At 35.5% G+C, this 26,051-nt stretch overlaps 1 protein-coding gene across 15 annotated transcripts in view; it reads right to left on the minus strand.

Moving 5' to 3' along the window:
• The window catches only part of NRXN1 (neurexin 1), a 1,113,630-nt gene that overhangs the window by 538,955 nt on the left and 548,624 nt on the right, over positions 1-26,051 (minus strand). For all 15 annotated transcript variants that reach the window (NM_001330096.2, NM_001330087.2, NM_001330083.2 and 12 more), the window contains 2 exons: positions 14,841-15,014; positions 7,985-8,104 (listed from right to left, as the gene is read on the minus strand). In NM_001330096.2, coding sequence (NP_001317025.1) covers positions 7,985-8,104; positions 14,841-15,014 — 294 coding nt within the window. The remainder of the gene's footprint in view (positions 1-7,984; positions 8,105-14,840; positions 15,015-26,051) is intronic.

The raw sequence follows: 26,051 nt of genomic DNA on the forward strand, positions 1-26,051 counted from the left end.
ACCATTTCAGCCCAAAGAAGTTACTTAAAATATTCATACCTCACAATCAGCAAAGGGAAGAGACAATCTAAAGAACTGGAGAAAATATTTGCAGACTATTAATCCAAAGAAAAAGTAATAACCAGAATACATAAAGAACTCAAACAATTCAATCATAAAATAATTATAACAAATAATTGAATTTTTAAAATGGGCAAAAGAAGACATTCCTCAAAAGAAGACATATAAATGGTCAACAGGAATATAAAAAAAATGCTTGATATCACTAATCATCAGAGAAATGCAAAAATCACATTAAGACATCAAAATCAAAATCACAATGAGATAGCATCTCACTCCAGTTAATATGGCTATTATAAAAAAGACATAAAATAACACATGCTGGCAAAAATTTGGAAAAAGAGAAATGCTTGTACACTGCTGGTGGAAATGTGAATTAGTACAACCACTATGGAGAATAGCTTGGTGGTTCCTCAAAAAATCAAACACATAACTACCGTATGATCCAGCAATCTCACTGCTGAGTATATATCCAAAAGAAAGGAAATCAGTATATCGAAGAGATAATTGCATTCCCATGTTTACTGCAGCACTATTCACAATAACCAAGATAAGAAATCAACCTAAGAATCTGTGGATAAACGGATAAAGAAAAAAATGGTATATATATTCCAATACGAGTTGAACTGGAGGTCATTATGTTAAGTGAAACAAGCCAGGCTCAGAAAGACAAATATCGCATGTTCTCACTCATATGTGCGAGCTAGTAAAATTGACCTCTTGGAGACAGTGAATAGAGTAGAATAGGTGGTAACCAGAGGCCATAAAGGGTAGAAAGGTGGAGAGGATGAAGAGGGGTTGGTTGATGTATACAAAGATAAAGATAAGTAGAAGAAATAAGAGTAGTGTTTGATAACACAATATGGCAAATACAGTTAACAATATTTTATTGCATATTTCAAAATAGCTAGAAGAGTGGAATTGGAATGTTCCCAACAAAAATAAGTGATAAATATTTTAAATGATGGATACCCAATTACCCAGATTTGATCATTACACATTGTGTGCTTATATTAAAATACCACATGTACCCCCTAAATATGTACAACTATCATGTATTCATAATTTTTTTTTTTTTTGAGATGGAGTTTCACTTTTGTTGCCCAGGCTGGAGTGCAATGGCACAATCTTGGCTCACTGCAACCTCCTCCTCTCGGGTTCAAGTGATTCTGCTACCTCAGCCTCCTGAGTAGCTGGAATTACAGGCATGTACCACCAGGCCCAGCTAATTTTTTTGTATTTTTAGTAGAGATGGTGTTTCACCATATTGGCCAGGATGGTCTCGAACTCCTAATCTTGTGATCCATCTGCCTCAGCTTCCCAAAGTGCTGGGATTACAGGCATGAGTCACTGTGCCCGGCATAAAATTTTAAAAAATCTATTTATGCTTCAGTATTCTTCTTTTTACATTTAAAGTAATCAGATATTTTTGGAGAAAAGGTAAAGCTTATAAAATTTAAATGGCATGCATATAATACATATTAATTATGATATTAGCACTGAAATATGTTGATGTAATCTACATAAATTTTTTGTAGTTCTTTTTATGCACTAGCTAGGCATATCCACAGCAACAAAGTATAGAAACAACCTAGGCCTGATCTAACACTTCTTTCCAAATCCAATCATAATTATATTATTTTAAAATAAAAGATTTCATAAATTATAAGGTAATTATGTGTAATCCTATACTTTAAAAACACTCCTGATAATTTGATTTCATAAAGTGGGAGAAGTATTTAACCGTTTGCTCTCTTCAAATATCTTCCTGATTAATAAAATGATACTAAGTATTTTTTTACTTTTATTTTAGATCCAGAGGTACATGTGAAAGTTTGTTACATAGGTAAACTTGTGTCACATGGGTTTGTTGTACAGATCACTTCATCACCCAGGTATTAAGCCTAGTAGCCAATAATTATTTTTTCTGCTCCTCTCCCTCTTCCCACTCCACCCTCAAGTAGACTGTGGTGTCTGCTGCTCCCTTCTTTGCGTTCATGAGTTCACGTAGTTTAGCTCCCACTTACAAATGGGAACATGTGGTATTTGGTTTTCTGTTCCTGCATTCATTTGCTAAGGAAAATAGCCTCCAGCTCCATCCATTATCCCACAAAAGACATTATCTCATTTCTTTTTATGTTTGCATGGTATTCTATGGTGTATATGTACCACATTTTCTTTATTCAATCTGTCATACTAAGCCATTTATTATTTGTACTTATTTGGTATTGTGCAAGGTTCTGATAATTCACTGTGATTTATCTTCAGTTTGTTCACACGGGCTTTTGGTACATCATTTTTAGAGAAGTAAAATCTATATAAAAAGTAAAATTAAACTTAATGGCTCCAAGTGTCAACAGTTAGCACCTCTGATTAAGGCAGTATCCCCATCCTGCCTTGATTCTGCACCTGTTGTGTTGCTACAGATGGAAGTAACATGATAAACACGGATATATAATGCATTCGCATGGAAAAAAAACATTCAGATGAGGCTATCTATTTGAATAGCATTTAGTGATAACTAAAACCATTGTCTTTCCTTGAGAATAGTTAGTCAAGGTGACTAGCAAAACCTCCTCTGAATGCAGCTCTGGTTAGCTGGGCTCTGGTGAGATAGGATAGTGTTACCACAGTAAGACCAACATTGAAAGCCACCTCCATATTTACCTATAAGATCGATGATGAAGAGTGCTAACATTTGAGCCAAATTAAGGTCTACACAGACAGAGTTTTAATGAAGCCAGAAAAATTAGAGCATACTAGCAGGAAAATCCATAGGTGAAGAAAACATTCTGACTGGGTTTGCTTCCTTTTTGATTTCTAGGGGCCAAGGTGGCAGAATTCACAGACTAAAAGGCTGCTGAGAGTTGAATCATCAAGCTGCTCAACAGTGCAAGGGACTAACATAGATAATTCAAATACAGCATTACTCTATTCCCTTTTTTGTTGTTTTTCTCCCCACCTAAATTTTCTCATATAGATACAGACTGAAACTATTATTCAGCTGCCCAACAATAATATAAAAAGACCAATGCTTCCATTTATGCATCTACTTTTATGATGTCAATTCTAAAAAGAAGAACAAAGATAAGTTTACGTAAAATAGTAGCAGATAGCACTTCTATGACATATTACATTTCTCTGTCATACATTATGCTTTATTTTCTGTCCTTCATTACATTTTCTTACTTAGTAGGAAAAATATTTTAATCCTTTATCATTCACCTGAGGCAGGTCTGACCCTGTTTCCCCATAGTTTTTTTAAGGTGTTTTCAGTAAAGATTGCTTATGAATTGCTTTAAACAGCTTAAGGGCTTCCACTTAGAAAAAATTCAAGGTTAATAAGATTCATCATACTCACAAAGAGTATCTGGTTGTGGACATAGCTACTTGCTAAATTTTATTCAGCCCTAAGTGACACCAGCAGCAAATCAGCTCACAGCTTAATACTACTGGCAACTCTAAATGGGAGAGAAGTAACATTACTCAGATCCAGGTTTTTAAAAATATATGTTATGATTCACTTCCATTAGTTCATATATTGATGCTCAGACACTGGATATTGGATTCTCTTTCAAACAACAAAAGAAGCTGAGAAACAAAGCTGAAGATATTTTTAAATGTCATGGTAAAAAGTCACAGGGAAGTGTATTTTATCCTCATTTCAGCGAATGTTTCTAACTCTCATATGAAAGATACAATAAATTCCTATCAGAAAGATTTTCTCTTGGCAAAGTTTAGGATTCTGAAAACAGCCTTTTAATAAAACAGCACCCACACCCTCCTAAGCTGTAGCACCAAAATAACAGCACTATGTTATATTCTTCCCTTATGGTAACAGACACTGTTGAAGCTGAACTGTAATTTGGCATACAACATTTCTATACTAATGTAATGTGACAATGTTATTATGTTCGCTATTTTGCATACGGTCATAGCCATGTTCATCTTCTCCAACCTGACATTAAGTTAGCTTAATATGGTAACATTCTATTCCGGACCACTGGGTAAAAGGAGAAAAGGATTATTGTGTAGCACACTGGTGTGATGATGGTGGACGAATGTGTAAGTATTAATAGGTGATATATAAAATTTACAATGAATGTAAACTTTTAGCACAGAACTGGCACATAGTAAGTGCTCAGCAAATGGTTACATCCAAGAGAAATTTCATAAACAGCTACACCATACAATGTAGTCCAGCACACTGTTTCCTACAATTTCAGAAGAGGGAAAAATAATGTCAAGCTCAGAAAACAAAGGAAGTTTCCATGGGACAAAAGAGTTTTAGTAGAGATTGAAAAGGAAATTATATTTCTTCAAGCAGACATAGTGAAAGAATGCATTCCAGGTGGAATGAATGCATTTTCCAGGTGGGGAAATTAGCATAAGCAATGGTGAGGAAATTGGAAAGTGTAATGTTGTTCAGAAAGCTGTAAGTAAATTGGCAGTAATATGCCATATGGACAAGGTTCTGCAACAGATAAGTATGAACATGAAGGCTGGGGTCAGACCATTGAGGTCCACGAATTCCACATTGACTAACTTGGAGAGTAGTATTGGACACTGAGGATATATTTGAAATTCTTCTGCAAGATGCATGTGTCTAGCACGCTTTGATTTTAGTGAGTTATTACAATTACATGCAGCATGCTATAAAAACACTGGGCTTATAAACCAAGAAAACAGAGAAGAATGTTATTCCTAGTAGAAGTATAGAGTCTTATAGGGAGGTAAGACTAAACATAGGTAACTATAAGGAAAAAGTGATGGCAAATTAAATAGTATAAACAAAATTCTATAGGAAGCCAGAGGAGAAAAAAAATATTGCCTCTGGTTAGGAGAATTAGGAGAGACTGATGACATTTAAACTAGGAAGAATAGAAAGAAAGAACAAAACTGGCAGAGAGGCACAGAATGGATCAGAGGAAAGAGGAATAAGAAATGGGAGATAACTAAGAAATTACATGATATACCAGAAAAATTATACAGAGGATCTAAAATTTGGTATTGATATGGAAGAAAACTTGAAGAGGTGAGTATATGACATTACCCTGTACACACACCTGCATATCCACATACACACATGCACAAAACAATTGTTTTTGTCAGTGAGTAGGTCACTTAGATGGCAATTTTCCGGGGAAGAAAGGGTTTAACAAACATTTCATTAAAAATAGCCTTTGGCATCATTTTGAATAGCACTTCTTTTTGAAAGATTCCTTTCAGTTCAATTAATTAGTATGATTTATCCAAGATTACATTTACAAGCTACAAAGTATTCCCATCTTCCCATTGTTAATTATATCTCCAGGCTAATATAAATACATTTTTTCTAGTTACCCTAACCCACTCTATAAACCTTATCAGCGAGATGACATTTAGAAATTCTATTTTGGGGGAGGGAAGGTCTCATTTGTAATGTGGCATGTTCGTTTCCCCATTAAAAAGTTTTGTTTCTATTTTCTTTTTTGTTTTCTATGTAATTGGAGGCTGCAATCACAGAATTTATGAAAAAATAAACTAGAGATGAAAATTTCATTAAGAAGTGAAATGCCTTAAATGGCTTTATTTTAAAAGAAAAATCAGCTTCTATACAGAAAAGGAGTTTGTTAAAACCCCAGGAATCACACTAATTCTATTTGTGCATCTTAGAGAAAAACAGTGAGATGTACAGACAAGATTTATTTTGATCAATTTAAAAAGTGAGGAAAGTGTTGCATGCTATTTCTATTGCTTATTAATTCCACGTCTTCAAAGTAACAATTGCTACTATATCTTCTACCAATTATAATTGATACAAAATAAGATTTGCTTTTGAATATTGATTTGTACCTATGTATTCTCACCACTGAAACTCCAACGTATAAGCCAAGGAACCATTTCACATTTTCAGAAAACCCACTAACAGGTAATGATTTAATCAAAATGCATGTATTCTGAGAGCTCTCTAAAGTAATTTTAATGCTGATTTGTGCAAGAGGCATATCAGGAGACACATTTATTGAATGACATTTACCTATTTACAAGAAAATAACGAATAGCCTTATCATTGTCATCACCAGTACTATCACCCAAGAGCAGCATTAAAATAGTTTTCTGTAAAAATCATTCGAAGACAGCATGATACTTATGGTTGTATCTTGGTGTTTCTTTAGGGAAAGTCTAACAAATACATACACAAAATTATATTCTTTATATTTAACTGGTATATGAGGATACACAGTCTGCCACAACCAAATGGCAACTGTATGTAAAACATGGAAACTACATTAAGCATAGTTTGGCAGAAAAAGTTCTTTAGCAACATGAAAAATATTTTCACACCAAAAAAATCCCTCTCAACTACCACATGTAGTCATACATCTGTCAGGATTGTATTCAGGATGAAAAATTTGCGATAATAAAATCTTAACAAGTATTCAGTCTTCTGATTGTCCTTGAAAATAAATTTACGCCATTTTCTGTGAGGCAGGAACAAATGCAGGAAGTAATTTACCTATACACACATATACATATCCTTATGAAAAGCACATGTAAGGCTGCTATATGTATATATATTTATTAAGACTTTATGTAAAGTTGTTTATATAACTCAAAATGGCGTTATTGTGTTTTAAGTGTGATTTGGCTTGCAGAGTGTTCGCAAATGTATGATAGTTTGAATACATGTTTATTGCTTCAGGTTTACTGTAATTCTATGGGAGAGGAAACTAGTAAAATGAAGAACAAATATTTCTCCATCTACAGTGGCATGGTTGTTAAAGGCCTCTTCCACATATGTTTTAACTCTGTATTGGTTGTGCGTTTTTCCAATAGTCAATATTTTGGAAAGGAAACCTAAAGACAGCAGGTAAATTGTACTTTATTGCTAGGCTGCAACAACTCAGTTCAGAGGATTACTGTAGCTTTACCCCATCTTCTACATTGCGATGCACATATCTGTTGACATGAATACAGTCTCAAATAGACAAAGGTCAAAATGAACAAGCTCTACTCTTTCTTTAAATCCACATTCAAATTCAGCCTCTGCTACAAAATCTAAACCTTCAACCGTTGCATCTTCTATTCCATCATCCTGGAGGTTTAGCTTAAGTGTTGTAGCACTGACAACATATAGCACGTATTCTATTTTACAACCAGGTCAATTTGTCAGGAATATTCTCTTAATATAGCAGAATGCAATGTTTTGTATGAAATTCTTTTATCATTTTGATGATGTGCTGTAAATCAGGACCTATTAGAACATTAAGACACAGAACTTCATCTTATAGATCAGTTAATTCCATCTTCAAACCCTCACTGCTGTGATATAAATTAGGCACTAGCAGATATGCCATGATATAATGTGAATCATGTGTTTTATTTTCATGCTTATATTGTAATACTTAGTTAAAGGATTTTAAGGGGAAAAACATAAGTTGCTAAGATACAAGGGAGAATGGCTGAAGGGACAATGTTTGAACATATTTTTTTAAAAGTAAAAGGCAGCAATGGGCTTAAAGAGATGTACGCAGAGAGAAAAATGAGACCTGTAACCATTCAGTAAAATTACAGCCCTCGAGACATAATCATATGAAATTAAGTATTATTTAATATAAAACAATATGAAGGTTCTTTCAAAAACCAAGGGAGAATTGTCATATATTGGAAATGAAAAACATTCTTTTGAACAAGGTGATCATTAGTAATTAAAAAATAACAATAAACCCAAAAACCAAAGAATCACCATCATCACAGGATTTAGCCACTTTAACAATTAGTATTTCAAAACTGTCCTTTCCGTAGAAACAACTGCTTCTATGGGTTATGACAGTTCGACTGACTCAGAGTTAATATAAGGACTTTCAGTGTTAGACTTTAGATATCAAACAGTAACTGGAAGCAACGATGAGTATCAGTCCATACTCAGAGAGGTACTTACGGTCATTGCAGAGTGGTCCACTGAAGGAAGTCATACTACAGTCACAGCTGAAGCCATCCCATTGTTGCAAGCACACACCTTGATTGGAACATGAGTCCTCTTGGCAGGTTGTGCTGGGCCCTGCAAAACAATCCAAAGGAAACTTGGGTTCTTTAAAAGAATCCAAAAGCATTTTATACATGAGCTAGATCACATGTAGTAGTTGCCAACACCACAGATGATATGTCCAAACTAGTTTTTAAAGTTCTAGTTCACACACCTGAATTAGGAACTGAGAGGCTGTAATATGAAGGTTTTCTTAAGTTTCAAGTATAGGATAAAATACATTATAATCATAAACTAAACCAACAAATAGCAAAAACAAGCACATAGCTTCTAGTATGATTATTGTAGCAGGTAATCTCATTCCAACTTCAATAATTCTTTATCACTATTTTGATTTTAGAAAATGAATGGATCTCCTTAACATTCTGACCAATGAATAGAGACATAATGAGAAATGGAGATTATAACTTCATGAAATTGAGATAAGATTGGCAAAATAACTGAAGAGAGTTATGCAAAAATGCCCTAGAGGTTTCCAAACGATAAAGTTATGATTGCTGGGTGTTTTGAATAGGTATGTTGGCAAGTATCAATTCACATGCTTTTAACAATTTCATGCAATTAAACATAAAATTAAAAACTCCATATAAATGGCATGCCCTCAATAAACATACAAGTAAAAAGAATGCTAGTCTATTTCTAAAGAATCATAACTAGAACACTGAAAAACAAAGAACTAAAAAAAGCATGATCAAAGCACTAAAGGCAATCACTATACAAACATATTCAAGACTGAAAGCCTTTATACAAACTATGCTACAAAGTTAGGCTTCTTGCACAACGTTCAAGAAAGGAAAAGAATGAAATCTGAACCCAAATAACAGTTACTGCAGAAATGTAAAATATGTTATTTTAGGGTTTCCACTGTGTATTATGGGGTTTCAGTCTTGTTATATACACACAGGGCTATCTACCTTGCAAGTCAGCTTTCATCAATGCAACTTTGTCAGCAAAATAAAAAAAAAAGCAAAATATATTAAATGTTAGTAAGCAATACTGAAATGGGGCAAACACAGAAGAATGTTCAGATTCAAAAGGCATGCTGCTGTAAAGAGGGAGAAAAATGCTATGTAGAGCAAACAAATTAATACTAACAGCCATAAATCTTAAGAGAAGCCAAAAATGAGAAAGCAGAAATTTATTAGAATTTAATTGTACATATGTATATATATAATGGTTAATTGAGCCAATGACATGTAATGAAGGAAAATTAAAAGGGCCTTTGTATGTTTCCTCTCTTGGATAGATATGAATGCATTACCAAAGTGACTGTGTTGCTTATTTGGAACATGCAGCACCATTCATCATGTGCAGATACAGTGTAGACTATGATCAGTAGCAAAGCAATTATCCCTTTCTATGTTTTTCCCTCTAGATCCTTTATCTTTCTGTTGCAATTAAGGCTTCAAACCGTAATGCCAGCCATTCACTGACAACAGCTGGACTTTAGAGTGACACCAACCAAATGCTGCATAAATGATACTGTATATCATTTAGAGTGGATGAAAGAAGTAGGAAGGATGGAAGAAATAAACTGCAATATAATCCATCATAAAGGAATTTTCTGAATAAAATTTCCATGTGCAGCGTTTATCCTTGAACTTACCAGATTGGGTATATGCCACTTATGAATTTCAGAGTTACGTCTGTATTTTCTACACTTTCACAAGTATTTTCAACTCTTATAAACTTCCCTGTGGAATAACTGTTACAGTAAAACCTCACTAATAAGAACCTATCTTAGAGGAGGGTGAAAAGGGAATACAGTCTACCTAAATAGCTTTAGAGTATAAACTAAATATATTTTCTAGTAAATAAACATATAGGTTTTATAAAAATAGAAAAAAAGACAACAGCTAATTAGATGCTATTAATGTAAAAGAGAGAGCCTCTGAGGTGCCTGCTTTAGTGAATAAATTAGAATTTTCTGTAATTATATTTTGTATAAATAGATGATTTTGAAAATGGCTTCTAAACATGTACCTTACAATCACATTTGTATTATAAATTTTTAGTAAAGATACTCTTTATTGAATGTTATTGAATTTAGCCTAGCCTCTGAGAATTCACAAATTCAGAAACCATGATATTGTAAATCTTAATTCTGTAATAATAATAATAATAACAGCAATAATTGTAACAATAATTAAAACAAAAATAGTAGTTTATATAAGTAGTAATATAATAAGAAGACCTCCCAAATCCAGGAAACCTGAAGAGAGTAACAGTTGTTTTTTTCAACTTAGTTATTTGTAATAAAGAACTAAGAACTAACAAAGAACTAAGAACTAACAAAGAACTAAGAACCACTAAACTCAACTTAGTTCTTTGTAGTAAAGAAATAAGAACCACTTAATTGCTTAGTTTTAATTTTTGTTCCAAACTGTGAGAGGGAAGTGGTCTACTGATCCTTATCCCATGGCATTAGAGATCAAAAATAATTAGCATATTTTTAAAAATAAAATCTCTCAAAGCAATATTCCTTAGCATATTTCTTCCAGTGTTAAGCAAATAAACAGGGAGTAATACAAGCCCAGTTTGGGGAGATGCCATTTTATCAAATAGCTATTTGCTCTCTGACCTGCACAGCAGAAGAAAAGGTCAGAAGCAAGAACTAATGAAGATCCAGATTTTGGTTTTTGTTTTTTCAAAAATTATCAGAAATGCAATTGAGAAACAATGCTAAACTCTAAAAATAGTAAAACTACAATCTTAGAAAAATAATCTGCCCATATTGTAGAGCAGCAACTCAGAGTACCTGCCAAGCTTCTATGTAAGCATACAGACGTGCTGTATTTTATTTTCATTATCACAATAGTCTTTATATTCAGGAATTACAAGACAATGCATGCCTTTGCCTGACAAGACACATTTTTCAAAGTACTCACCTTCTAGACAATACTTAAACATTGACAGGTATTACACAAGAGAGAGCCTTAAATTTATTTTTCTTTTTAGTTATGTAATATTATCTTTATTTTATCACTGAATAAAATTAGGAAAAAGCTACAAGGACATTTGTATTAAGTTATTTAAATTAATAATATGTCTAAAAGGGAAAGAAAAATGAAGATAAAACTACAATTTCCAGAAACAAAAGAAATGATACACAAAAGAGGTTAGGTGTCTCTGCTTTCAAGTAAGGTAAACTTGAGTTTGAAACTTGTGTCATCCACTTACTAGGTGTGGGACTTTAGGAATGTCACCTTACTTTTCTGAGGTTCAATTTACTCATTAAAAAAAGGCAATGATACCTATTGTATAGAGTCTTGATGATTTAATGAGATAGTATAGGTAAACATATTCCCACCAGTGTTTAATCAATGATAGCTGTCACGATTAAACAGAAAATTATTCCTGTAGATATAATGGAGCCTAGAGCTGAATGTTACAGTTGTACAAAAAGAGCATCTATTAAAATTTCACTCTGATTTTATGTAGAGATATTATCTTGACTTTAGTGGGCCTGCTTATTGGTTGAATTCCAGTGCCCATTTTCTGCTACATAAACAGAAAAAAGCCATCCAAAGTATGGTCTCCAGTATAACAGCATCAGCATCACTTGGGAACTTGTTAGAAATGGAAATTCTAGGGCTCTATCTCAGATCTATTGAATTAGAAACCCTGGGGGTTGTAATCTAGTGATTTGGGTTTTAATGATTCTGTAAGTGATTCTGATATAGGCTAACATTCAGGAGACAATAATCTAAGTAGACTTCGACGGGTTAAAATCCGTACTCTAGCTGAGGTGAATTTTATAAATAAAATGAACCATTACTCCCTGAAATAAATTAGAAATAAAAGGCAACAAGTGATTATTTAGGAAAGATCAAAAGTTTTTTGTATGCAAGAGGCTTAGAGGTGTGTGGGTGTATTGGATAGGAACAATGGAAACTCCTCACAAGATATTATTAGGTTATACCAAACATATGCTAAGTAGTCCTATCAATATGGAGCCTAAGTGATTCCAGTGTGGTTTGGACTCAAATTCCATGACATAACAATCTTTAGAAAGAGAATTTATTAGGTATCTACAGTTAAAACACTAATCCTAAAAAATGTGTGAATCTCATCAACTGTACCTGTAACAGGTAAATCTAAGATTATTCCTAGAAACTATACAGGTCAGAAATAATAGTAAATTAAAAGTTGTTCACCTTGATGTTGGAATGAAAGAATCAGGACAGAAAGTAATATTCTAAGAGTAAAGAAAAAAAGGGGTGTCAGGGTGTGAAAATTATAAAAGCTCAGATATATAAAGCATTCTAGATAAGGAAAGAACCAATGCCATAAGTGACTGGGTTCAAATGTTCAAATAATAGTTTAATGTGTAACTAATCATCTTAACCAAATTCCTTACTAGATTATGTGGGTAAACAACACCAAACATCATTACTGCAAATGCCCTTTGTTAGTATATCCTGCTCCTCTTAATCTACTTGCTTCCGCCCACTCACTCACATTACATACCAGTGGTGGGGGTCCTGTGTGTTTGCCTCTTATTTTCTATCTCATTGGGTATATCTGCCTGCTCTCACCATTTCTTGTAGGTGAGAAGTCACATACCAAACAACTTGTAGAAAGGCCTATTTTTAACAAATATGTTCCATAAGGGATTGTAATACCTTTCTTTAAAAAATAAAATAAAATAAAGGTACACATTCTCACTAATGAGATCACCTCCAAGAATTATTATGTTGTATCACATTCTTGTGTTCATCCACTAATGGGAATTGATCCCCTTAACAATTTTGTCTCTCTTAATTAAAATTAACTGAAAGGGAAAAAAACATAGTTTCCTTATGTTTTACAGAGGCATTATGCCAAAATATCAAATAAAGAAATATACTAATAACATTAAAAATGAACTCAACAACACCTTCCATTACTAACCTTATCCTCTAGTATTACTGAAATACAGTTTAAATTTCACCTAACATTTCATGGAAACACATGCTGCACAGAGGAAAAAAATGTATTTTCAAATATAAAATTTCCATGTACTTAAGTAATTGCTAAATATAACGACATTATTTTGGCTGAGAATAAATGATTCATAATCACCTGGGGGACAGGAATTCAAATTTCTTTCTTCTTCTCTCATATAAAACATCCTCATCCTCATAAATCTAAAATTTTCAAAATGGCCCAAACTGTGTTCAGTATTACAGGAGAGGCAGCAACACATGCAGAGCCACAAAATTCATGATAATGTGATTAAATTACATTTATGGAGGAAGAATTTGCTCAAATAATCTGAGGTGTTGAAGTGAAAATTATCTAAAATGAAAGTGGCAATCAAAAAGTACTCCTACAGATCTTGGTCTGATAGAGAGCACAAAAGAAAAGAAGATACTTCAGTGCATTTCTGATATAGGAATATTAGCCTGGGGTGATACAAGAAACTTGTTTTTGCTAAAACAGACTGAAAATATACAGGATACAGTGTTTCTGCCAGGTACACACCAACTGAATAGTGCTTTGAGAATGGGGTATCTGAACTTTTTTCTTTTGTTATATGCTATTGGATATAGATTTACTTATTTTTATTTTACTTTTTTTTTAATTTCAGTAGCTTTAGGTGTACAAGTGGTTTTCGGTTACATGGATGAACTATATAGTCGTGAAGTCTAACATTTCAGTGAACCTGTCACTCAAGTCTTGTACGTTGTACCCAATAGGTGTTTTTTCATCATTCAATCCCCTTCCCACGATTCCAGCTTGTGAGCCTCCAATGTCCCTTATACCATGCTGTATGCTTTTGTGCACCCATAGTGCAGCTCCCACTTATAAGTGAGTAACATGAAGCATTTGGTTTTCCATTCCTGAGTCACTTCACTTAGAATATTGGCCTCCAGTTCCATCCAAGTTGCTACAAAAGACATTATTTTGTTCTTTCTATGGCTAAGTAGTATTCTGTGGAATATACATACCACATTTTCTTTATCCACTCATTGGCTTTTGGGCACTTAGGTAGATTCCATATATCTGTAATTATGCATTGCGCAGTGATAAATATATGTTTGCAGATGTCTTTCTGACATAGTGACTTCTCTCACTATCCTTCACAAACTAATGCAGGAACAGAAAACCAAATACTGCCTGTTCTCACCTATAAATGAGAGCTAAATGAAGAGAACACATGAACACATAGAGGGGATCAACAGACACTGGGGCCTACTGGAGGGTGGAGAGTGTGAGGATGGAGAGGATCAGGAAAAATAACTAATGCGTACTAGGCTTAATACTTGAGTGGCAAAATCATCTGTACAAAAAACCCCTATGACACAAGTTGACCTACATAACAAACTTGCACATGTACCCCCTGGACTTAAAATTAAAACAAAAAGAATGTAGATTTTTAAAAAATGGGCACAAGTTGATTAATACTCGGTGGAGCAGTATTTGTTTAATGCTATAAAGCAAGCATCGTAGAACTGATTAACAAACTAATCAAATGTACTACATAGCTCAAAAACAAAAACAAAAACAAAAACAAAAGCAAAAACAGGCAAAAAAACCAAGATCCATAGATATACCTCCCATTTTACATTGGGCATTAATGTAGGCTTGCAAACAGTACAGAAAATTTAAGGTTTATGAGATAAAAAATTAAAAACTTGAATAAGGATGTCTAAGCCCAAATTGGGTATTTGACCAGTTATCAGAATTTTGCTGGACAGTGAGATTCACTCTCAGTTAGACAGGTGGAATTAGAATTATTTAGAGCATGATGACAAAAATCTAATACCTTCACATCCTCTCTCGATCTGTCCGTTGCAGAAAAGAGCATCGGAGATGAGGTCCGGAAGCCGTCCATTTAAATCAACTGATGCCAGGCAGCCTTGAAAGCCTTCTTTGGCATGTACAAGTTTTGGTAAGGATTTGTATGTTTCTTTAGCTACTCCTCCTATATATAAGTCACCTGCAAGAAGATCAAAGTCTTTGTTACAAAAGTACCATGTCATTGACTTTAAACACACAGTAGGATGGAGAAAAAACAGGGAGGTTTATTTTTCATTAAGTTAATAAAAAATTAATTTATGACTAGCTGTTTTCCCCAAAGTGCTAAACAATAGAGACGTTTGAATAATATACTGGCACTAGGAGACATTTCTAAAAGCTATTTCCATAGACAACTAAAGTAATTCCATATTATGTGGTCAAATTGAAGGAATGTGGGCTAGCTATAGAGATGCATACCCTTGCGTGGAAATCCAGGCCTGGTTATTTGCAAGCCCTACAGCCTTGTGTGTGTGTGTGTGTGTGTGTGTGTGTGTGTGTATATATATATATAAGTTTCTCTGATTATTAGTATCATTGTTTCTAAAATGGGAACAATAAAAACCTATGCCAGAGGGTTTCATGATGATTAAATGAGATGAAATATATCAAGCATCCACAAGAGCAAAAGTATAAAGTGGACACACAGTCAACAGGCATTATTATTAAATTCACCTTCTGCTTAGAGATCTCTGTGTCTTCCATTTCATCAGAAGTTCAGTAAATTTCTTCTTGTATCTAAAGTCACTTCTATACTAGGCTGAAGCCCACTATCCTTGCTTGCACCTCTCTTGTTCGATAATTCACATAATAGTCTGTACATAAGTGGATATTGCATCCTTCTTGAGGTATTTCTGTTTTTAGGTAAAATTACACTACTTTCAATTTTTAGGCTGCTCTGAAATCCGTTAACAAATTTTCAACTTATTTTTCTAATTTTATTGCAGTTTCTAATGGAAGACATTGCTTAGCTTTGTTTAACTTTTTCTCTCTAGGTTTGAGATTCCCCAACTTTATGGACTATTACTTAAAAAAAAAAAGAGATTACAATCTATGTTGGATTCTGTTTCTTTTTCTATTTCAGATTATTTACCATATCTGGATAATATTCAATAAACATAACTAAGTGACTTTAGTAAACATTTAATCAATGTGGAACATAAGGAAGGTGAGCTCAAAATTCAGTAATATGCTGCTATAGCTCCAGTCTACAAGTTCTGTAACATACTCTTTTTATCTACTTCTTCAACTTTCATTTTCATTTGAACTTTCTTTCTCATGTTAACCATTCTATTCAACTTGATGTCACTTGGCACATTTTCCCCAGTGTAACACAAAAATCCTGCAATCTTACTGTTCACCTGGGTCCTTCTGTGTTGTCTTCACGAGACTTGGGAACAAGGAGAACTGATACACAGACTGTTGAGCTGTGAGTAACAAATTCCTTGGTCTCCCATCCAGAAATATTCTGTCTTCTGCAGGCACCCATTAAACAGTAATAAGCTAACCTATTAATTTGTATGTAGGGTAAAATCAAACCACAGATATAACACTCTTGAACTGTACTCATGAATAAATTGAAATAGAGGAATCATGTGGCATACTCAAAGTCATTCAACGTTAAAAACTGAGAACTTAGGTCCTTGACCTAACTAAAACTTAAGTTTTATAACTATATAATTTGCATTGAAAGTACTGGATGTATTTACTTCCCCCCTTTTACATAAAGCAAAGTCTACTGACTATTAACCATCATTCTTAATATTAAAAGACAGCATGGTTTTGGTCAGAGAGGGGATACTATTTTGAAGAATTATTTGATTTTTCTTCCATATTTCCATTCTGTCCTTTGTTTTTGCTCTCACTTAAATTTCAGGCCATTGTGTTTTAGTTGCCTCAGAGAAAGGATATGAATCAGAAATCAAAGATACAAAATTAGCTTTCTGTATTTAAGTCTAAAAATCCTAGACTCTTCGAGGAATGAAATAGAATACATTGGAGTTTACATAAGAAAAGTAAAGCTTTCCTACTCCTCTTTCAGTCAAGCAGGAGATAAAGTTGGAAGAACCTAGTTGTGCAAGTACAGTCATTGGCAAATGTCAAAGAGGGTGCTGATTTCTAATTTAAGGACTGAGCTCTGGTGAATCTCAAAACCTCAGGTAAGTTTCAAGGAGTAATGCAAACCTCTGTGCATTTCCTCAGGAGAACTAAGAGGGAGCAGTGAGAGCTCTGAAAAGAAATGGCTGCATGGTGGACTTAGATAACCTGAGACCTTAGACAGTCTCACACAACGTTCCGTACTCCTCTGTGCCATGGGAGCTATAGAACAATTTCCAGACTGGCACAGAAATAGCAAAAAAAAAAAAAAAAAAAAAAAGTCCAACCTAAAGAGGTCATGCACACAAGAATGAAGATGCTGGGTAGCACCTCAGTGAGCACCTGAGTTGTGACTCTAGAATATTTGAAACAAGCTTCCATGCCACCTCTCTTTACCCGCCCGCCCCCCTACCAAAAAAAAAAAAATGAGTACAGTAGAACTCACCCCATTGAGTTATTTAGATATGACACAAGAAAAAGAAGGGAACTAAAATTGCCTGAGATTGTACCTTCACTAACTCAAAGAATCAAAGCTCAAAATAGAAACCAAGGTGAGTTATAGAAAAATAGAAAAGTTACATTTCTTGTACATCAGAGATTGTGGGCTGAGATTTATAATTTGACATGACAAATAGCAATGAAAGGAAATACTACCTACTCCTTTCATTTGTTGAACAAAATTTGTTAGAAAATTTCAGCTCTCCTCCAGGACTAATGAATGTAGTAGAGTGGGGAATTGAATGAAGAATTCTTGGCACAGCTTTAGGCTTTTCAGATGTAGAACTCAGTAATAGAAATTATGTATAGAATACTATATATTTATTAATCAATCTTCCTCTGTCTGACTGTAACCTCCTGAAGGAGAGAGACTGTGTTTCCCAGAGTGCCCGGTACTGGGCTCTAAGCACGGTTGGCCCTCAATAAATATTGTCAGCCACCTTATGGATTGAGGCCACGGTAGAAAAGAATAAAAAAAGAGGAAACAGTAAGGCAACACATGAGGAGAGTGCTAATTCTAAAATGCACCAACTTACTTCCTTTTCCCACTTCCTACCACAATCCCTATGTTTTTCTATTAAAAAACTTACTTGCCTGACAACATTGTAAAGCTTATTGAAGAGAACTAGTAATCTTTCCCTTGAGTTACTAAAGAGCAGAAAATATCAGTTCAAGCAGTGTGGGATACAACCTTCAAACATAGCAAGGTAGACGAGGTTGGCTTTATAAATAGGGGACTCATTCTCATTTTCATTACTGAAGCTGTACTTAGCACCACCACTTAGTACTGTTTATAAACTCTTTGATATAGCAAATAGTGATCTAAAGTCCCTTGGTGGGTTGCCACATGAAGAGAACAAAGAAACTCCTTTAGTGGTCTGAGCCCTGTGTACTATTATCACTTTATCAAAGATGCAGGTTCTCTTTTTGATCCTTGAAGTGACGGGTTTAAAAAAAAAAAATGACCCATTAGCACTAATGGGTCCTGCAGGTGAGTCCCTGTGCATGTGAAGGAGGATATACTTAATGGCTCTGTGTATGAACAAGAGCCTGCATGGGCAACCAGTAAAAGCCAACTTTCCTGTAGATATGAAGCTAGCCTGTTACCTCTTCTTCAAAATGAGTGGCTGATTTTTAATTCATATGTTTTAAGGACCATGTAGGCAATTGATAAGGCAAAGGTTGAATTGGGACACTTTCAGCAAAAGAAGTAGAGAACATGTACAATACCAAAAACTCAAAAGTCTAAGGGGTGAGTTTCTTAAAATAATCTCAATAATACCCTTATTTTTAGTACTGTATATACACAGCCACTATGTTCCTCTCAAGAGTGTTATCTGTGAATGAACTGGGGTGATATCATGAGTATCCATTCCGCAGTAATTGAGCAGTAATGACTAGGGAATAGGGCACAGGCATTTTGGTTTTCTCTGTCTACAAACCCTGGCTCTGCCACCTACTGGCTGTCTCAGTGTAGGCAAGTTAGGTTACATAACTTCTTTAAGAGTCAGATTCTTCATCTATGAAATGGGGTTGATAATGCCTACCTTGCAAGGCCATAAGGATTACAAAGTATGCACATAAAGCATCTAGTATACAGCATGGACTTAGCCCGTCATTGATACTGGTATGGCTGTCAGTATATCTGTAAGGATGACACATCTATGATGTACCTCAATCTATGCTGATTCCACTGAGAAATGCAGAAGAAGGAGAAGTATAGTTTATCTCCTGTTTCTAGCACAACTGGAGTGACAACATGTCAATTTTATAAATTCTCCATGATATTTTTTCTATTGGATTTAGTTGACAGTCATTTGTGTGCTGAAGTGTGCCTTACACTATTCTAAAAGTAGCTCACAGAGCTCCTTTGACTTAATTTGAAATTCGGTGGCATTGAATCTGGTAATATAAATAGGAAAGTTGCTTGACAAATATCTTCTAATTTGACACAAAGCGATTAAGAGGACAAAAAAACTCTATGAAGCCCAAGGGCCAGGTTGTCAGTTCCAGACTAAACATGCCTTAGAAAATCAGAGAAATAACAGGTTTTTGTGGACTGTGGTTGCAAAGTGGGGGAGCATACAAAAGTTGAGACAAGAAGAAAGTATGGGAGACATTACTATTGTAATGATATAAATGTGGATGCCAGACACAGGGAACAGCACAATTGTACCATGGAGACAAAATTTATATGGCATTTAGGAAAGAGAATAAAAGGCTTGACTGGAAGAGAGGAGTTTTCAGTTATTTATTAAGTTATGTAAATAATATTGTATAAGTAAAGTCAAAGGAAAGGCCACCATAGAACTTATGACTGCTGGCTGAAAAAAATAAATAATTAAAGATAATGAGAAATCCAAGGATCAAAGCAAAGCAGGCTAGGAAACTAGGGAATTTGAAGCAGTAATAATCCGGAGGAGAAATAAAATTGCATTTAACGTCATGTATGTGGAATTTGAGTAGGAACATCCTAGAGGAATCCAGTGATATGAACCTGGGCCTTAGGGAACGGAGGTTGGAGCTTAGAGGCCTTCCTTGGGAGCCACCAACCAAAAGCAGACAAATGACGCGGTAGAGATTTCCTCTTCACTTAAAATAGGAAGCATAAGGCAATTAGAGTAAAGACCAAGCTCTGCCTTACAGTAGCAGAATGCAAGTGTCAAGGTATAATTAGTTCTTTGACTCAGCTTTCCTGTTTATTCACATGTACTTTTTTGAACCTCTTAAATATCTCACTTTCATTTTAATTTTTTTAAAAAGCATACAGAAAAAGGACAATTGCCTTATAGATTTGAATAGCTAAAACTCCAGGAAATATGAAGGAAGCTCTCACAAACTTTTATAAATGGCATTTGGGGAAAAAGAAAAAGTGAAGTCACACAAATTAGCTTACTTTCCTATAGCTGGACTAGAGAAAGTGCAATTCTAGACACTTCATTTTAAGAAGATTGGACCTTGGAGAGAAAATTTGGGTGCAGCTTTTTCTCCTAATTCTTATTGTGATTGGATGGTAAAAGTAGTGCAATCAAGCTTGGGTAGTTTCTGAGCACATTCTATGGGAAGGGTGCCTTTCGGGGAACAATCAACCTCTGTCCCCAAATTTGTACCATTATCTTTAATTTTAATATTGTATTGCACACACATAAAGGAATATCTGTAGGTCAGACCTTATCTAGATACACTGAGAGAGCTTGTCTTTAGGTGACAAATCCAAACCTCTAAAACAGGTGTTCCCTGTTAGATAAAAGAAAATGACCTATAATATCTGATAAACAAACATTTGTTTGCTTTCTTAGTAGAAAGCCTAAGTGTGACTGCTTAAATAAATAATATTAAACTACTAAAAGAAAAAGCATGGGAAGTGAATACTGCTCTAATCTATTTGAGCTTACAAGTAAACAAATATAAACTTCTATAAGAAACCACACAGAAATGAACAATGAAAACTATACAAGATCATTTCTAAGTTCAAGGCTTGTAAAATATTCAAAATGGAAATCAAATGGGCAATTCAAGCAGACATTTTGCTCTGAGACACAAGATCTGTGTCTGTAATAAATCTCCATTTTTTAAAAGATTAATTTTAGAAACTCTCCGCTGAAGAGATGTTAAGTGGTCACCAGCTTGATTTATTGTTTTTTAACTTCTATACATCTTAGTCTCCCTTGGTACATAAAAGGTTTAGCCTTACAACAATCTATTTTTGCTTCTGTAGGAAATAACCATAAATTATTATCTTTAGGCGTGTCCTGAATTTCTAGGTCCAGCCTAAAATCAAACCTTCATCATCTCCCTTGCTGTGAAATTACTTTTTCTAAACTTTCATGTTGTGTAACAGCCACATATCTAGTCTACCTGCTCTCCAGATTGGAAATTCAGTATCATTTTTAACTTTATTTTATATCTCACACCTTACAATCAACTACTGCCAAGGGGTGAATGACTCAACTTTGCCAATATTTCTGACATTTGTTGTTTCGTTTTCATTCCCATTTCCAGTTCTTATCTATTTTTCTTCTTGTACACACCTTTTAAGTACTAACCTGTTACCTGGTGTCACTGTCTCCATTCAGCCTCCTCATCAACACTGTCTCAGTCACTCCACTGTGTTCTGATATCTTCAATACCTTTCTGTATCATCTAAATTAAGTCTAAGGCTCAGCAGTGATCAAGATTTTGAATTACTTCTCTTCAAAAACTTTTGCTAAACTTTGAACTATCTTTCAAAAATAACTTTTGCCAGGTAGAAGATTGAAATAATATCTATCTTCGCCCCACAGTCCGACCTTTAGTCAAACTTTGTTGGCAGCCTTTCCCCAACTCTGCATTTTCCCACTGCTCCATCCTTGCTTGTGGTATACAATACTTCCAGCATGAATGCCTTTCCTCTTCTGATGTTGTTCTTCAAAATCCTACTCAACTTGGGGGACTCAACTCAAACTCCACCTTGGAAATGTGTACCTGTTTCCTTAGCCACAGATAAATATCTTGGAATCCTCATAAAAAATTGAACCCCTTTTCTGAAAATGATTTTATCTTTTTCAGTTCTTTGTATGTGTAAGCCTTATGTAACCATTAGTTTATACATTATTTGAAGGAATAATCCTAAACACGTTTATATTCTCATTTTCACTTAGTAAGCATTTGATAATTAGTTGTTGACTCACTGAATGAATGGATGAATTAGTAGTTCACATTCAATAAATAATCATTGAAACAATAAGGACACAGGGAAGGTTTTATGTCAGCACTCATATTTGTCCCTGGCTCTTTTTACCTGAGCAATAATGAATTAAGTTAATTGTGGAAAATTTTTCATCTACTAATCCATTTCTTTTTCTTTTTTTTTTTTTTTTTTTTTTTTGAGATGGAGTCTTGCTCCGTTGCCCAGGCTGGAGTGCAGTGGCACAATCTTGGCTCACTGCAACCTCCGCCTCCTGGGTTCAAGCAATTCTCCTGCCTCAGCCTCCAGAGTAGCTGGGATTACAGGTCTATGCCATTACACCCGGCTAACTTCTGTATTTTTAGTAGAGATTGGGTTTCACCGCGTTGGCCAGGCTAGTCTCAAACTCCTGACCTCAGATATCCGCCCGCCTTGGCCTCCCAAAGTGCTGGGATTACAGGCGTAAGCCACCATGCCCGGCCTGATCCCTTTCTTAAACACAAAGGTGAAGCCATCCAGCTCATTAAGAAAATTTAGGGAATTCAATGGCATATTTTTTCCCACTCTGATAGTGTAACTTGATAGAGTAATACATGACCAGTTTTAACTGACACATACTGAATTTATTTGTAGAAAGAGATACAGAGATGAAGATAGAGGTGTAGAAACAGTTTGGAGTATCAGTGTGCGTAGTAATGAGAACCCATGCATGAATCGTCTTCTCCAATTAAAATATGTACAAAAATCTTTGGAGGAAATTAAATTTGAGCCTATCCTGGCCTTCTGTTTCATTCTGGCTCTATGCTGCTCCATATACAAAGATGACCTGATTCATGCATCCTCCATAGGCATATGGACACCATGAGCACTTCACACTGTCTCTCCAGACTCATCTGCTCTGTTATTATCACAAAGAAAGACATGCATTTATTTGCTGTGTGTGTCTGTAGAACACAGAGAAGCTAACTGTGTGGACCCTTAGTGCTCTGCTCTAGTGAGTTTGTTAATCCTCATCTGCACTTCCTTTTGGTTTGCAGATGTTTCACTCCTTCTAGCCTTTGGGCCACCACTCAAAGACTCCTAAGGTTAGAGTCCTTCTAGTTTGTAGCTTCTATTTCTTGGCTCCTTGTCAGCCACAGGTGTTCCTGATGCTACAGCAGGCTTACACATCTAACAGTATATTGCTTTAGCTAAAATGACTTTGAGTTTCACAAAAATCACCGAGACAACTGAACTGAAATGTACAGAGTCCTGAGTGAGAGAGGTCTTCCTTACTGCTTTGAATCTTTGGTAATCAGTGTCAGGCATTACTATGGTCAAAACCAGAAAAAACAGCTCTGACTTCATCATTATAATAATAACTGACATGAGTTAAGTATCCTTAACTTGACCAAGCATTTGCACATATATTGTTATATCTGGTTTTTGCCTGTTGAGCTACAAGAGGAGTAAAGGTTATCAGGGATACATGTTACAGATGAAGAAACTATGGTTTAGGGCTACAATACCAGAACAGGGCAGGGTCTTATTGCAAGCCCAGGTCTTCTGAAACTATGTTAATTGTCCGTTAATCCAGACTGACACGCACATGTACACCCTGTACACTCTAAGTGGCAAGTGGCCAATATGTACAGCTTCACTACTACAACATACAGGAAATTTTGGAGAGTTGTGGCTAGTTGATAAAAGTAATGGTAATAAATGGTAGCAAAAATCCAAGCAAGCTAACAAATTCCTGAGACAACTGGTACAATAAGAGACTCATCTGCATAATAATGGAGTAATCTCATAAAGGCAAAGTCAATTTTCTTCCATAATTATAAATATTAGGTATTCAAATTCTGATACATAAGTAGAATTCTTATGTTCAAAACTTTTTAAATCAAATTTTATCAAAATGTTTTTTACCAAAAGTCAACATTTGATTTTTAGATACAGCAGTTACTTTTCAATTGTCTCCCACAAAGAGATAAATCAGACACTTGTATGTATCCATGGCCCAATCTAGTACAAACCAGCACTTACGTGGGACAAGTTGGGGAGGGGCAACCCCAAGAAGATAAGAGTTTAGACCTTAACGTTTTCCTGTAGTGAGTTTTGGGGAGTTAATATTGTTATTATCCATATCAACAGAACATATAATTCTTTCAATATTCTGAACTTTTGTTTCTTTTTTTTTTTTTTTTTTTTTTTGAGACGGAGTCTCGCTCTGTCGCCCAGGCTGGAGTGCAGTGGCGGGATCTCGGCTCACTGCAAGCTCCGCCTCCCGGGTTCACGCTATTCTCCTGCCTCAGCCTCCCAAGTAGCTGGGACTACAGGCGCCCGCCACTACGCCCGGCTAATTTTTTTTTGTATTTTTAGTAGAGACGGGGTTTCACCGTTTTAGCCGGGATGGTCTCGATCTCCTGACCTCGTGATCCGCCCGCCTCGGCCTCCCAAAGTGCTGGGATTACAGGCGTGAGCCACCGCGCCCGGCCGAACTTTTGTTTCTTATTTAAATTTTGAAACAAAACTGCCCCCAAAAAGATTTTTTTAAAGTATGATTCTGAAACTTACAACAGGAAGACAGATTTTGTTTGTATGTTTGGCCAACAGACTGTGAGGAAACCTGGTGGGCATGCTAAATGGGAAATAATAAAGTGAAATTGCTATGGGAGCGTGTAGAGTAATCCATCTTCTTTTAAACCCACTCTATGCCAGTAACAGTGTGGCAGATGGGGTGCGAGTTCAGGGATATAAATCCATGCCAAGCTAACTTCATCTAATGGCTTTAAATTTTTAAATTTACCTTTAGGTAAAAATTGGGTACAAACAGTTTCAGTTTTTTCCTTTTGTCTCATCCAAATGACAGCCAGTTTAAATACCTGTGACATTCCTTACAGCAGACAATTCTGTCACCATTCCATGTTTCATTTTTTTTACTTACTGTGTAATGCTCTCTGGGACTGCATATGGATTTGCAGGGGTTTTCAACCTCACATATACTGCTGTACCTTACACATGCATAAACAGTGCAGTTTGAAAGGTGCTTTTTTCAGAAGCTTTTGAACCAGAGTGACTCCATCTTGAATAGGGGCTGGGTAAAATAAGACTGAGACCTACTGGGCTGGGCTGCATTCCCGAAAGGTTAGATGTTCTTAGTAACATATGAGATAGGAGGTCCACATAAGATACAGGTCACAAAGACCTTGCTGATAAAACAGAATGCAATAAAGAATCTGGCCAACAGGCGCGGTGGCTCAGGCCTATAATCCCAGCACTTTGGGAGGCTGTGGCGGGAAGAAACCCCAACTCTACTAAAAATACAAAAATTAGCTGTGCGTGGTGGCATGCGTCTGTAGTCCCAGCTATTTGGGAGGCTGAGGCAGGAGAATCGCTTGAACCCGGGAGGCAGTGGTTGCAGTGAGCCAAGATCGCGCCCATGCACTCCAGCCTGGGCGACAGGGAGAGACTCCGTGTCAAAAAAAAAAAAAAAAAAAAAAAGGAATCTGGCCACCAAAACCAAGATGGCAATGAAAGTCACCTCTGGTCATGCTCACTGCTCACTATATGCTAATTATAATTTATTAGCTTGCTAAAAGACACTCCCACCAGTGCCATGACAGTTTACAAATGCCATGTCAACGTCAGGATCAGAAAGTTACCCTATATGGCTTAAAAAGGGGAGGAACCCTCAGTTCTGGGAATTTCCCACTCATTTTCTGGAAAACTCATGAATAATCCACCCCTTGTTTAGCATATAATAAAGAAAAAACTATAAGTATACTCAGTTCAGCAGTCCATGACGCTGTTCTGCCTATAAAGTAGGCATTTGTTTGTTTCTTTACTTCTCTAATAAACTTGCCTTCACTTTACTCTATGGACTTGCCCCAAGTTCTTTCTTGCACAAGGTTCAAGAACCCTCTCTTGGGTTCCGGT

This window comes from Homo sapiens, chromosome 2 (genome assembly GCF_000001405.40).
Source record: "Homo sapiens chromosome 2, GRCh38.p14 Primary Assembly".
In the NCBI taxonomy this organism is placed as follows: domain Eukaryota; kingdom Metazoa; phylum Chordata; class Mammalia; order Primates; family Hominidae; genus Homo; species Homo sapiens.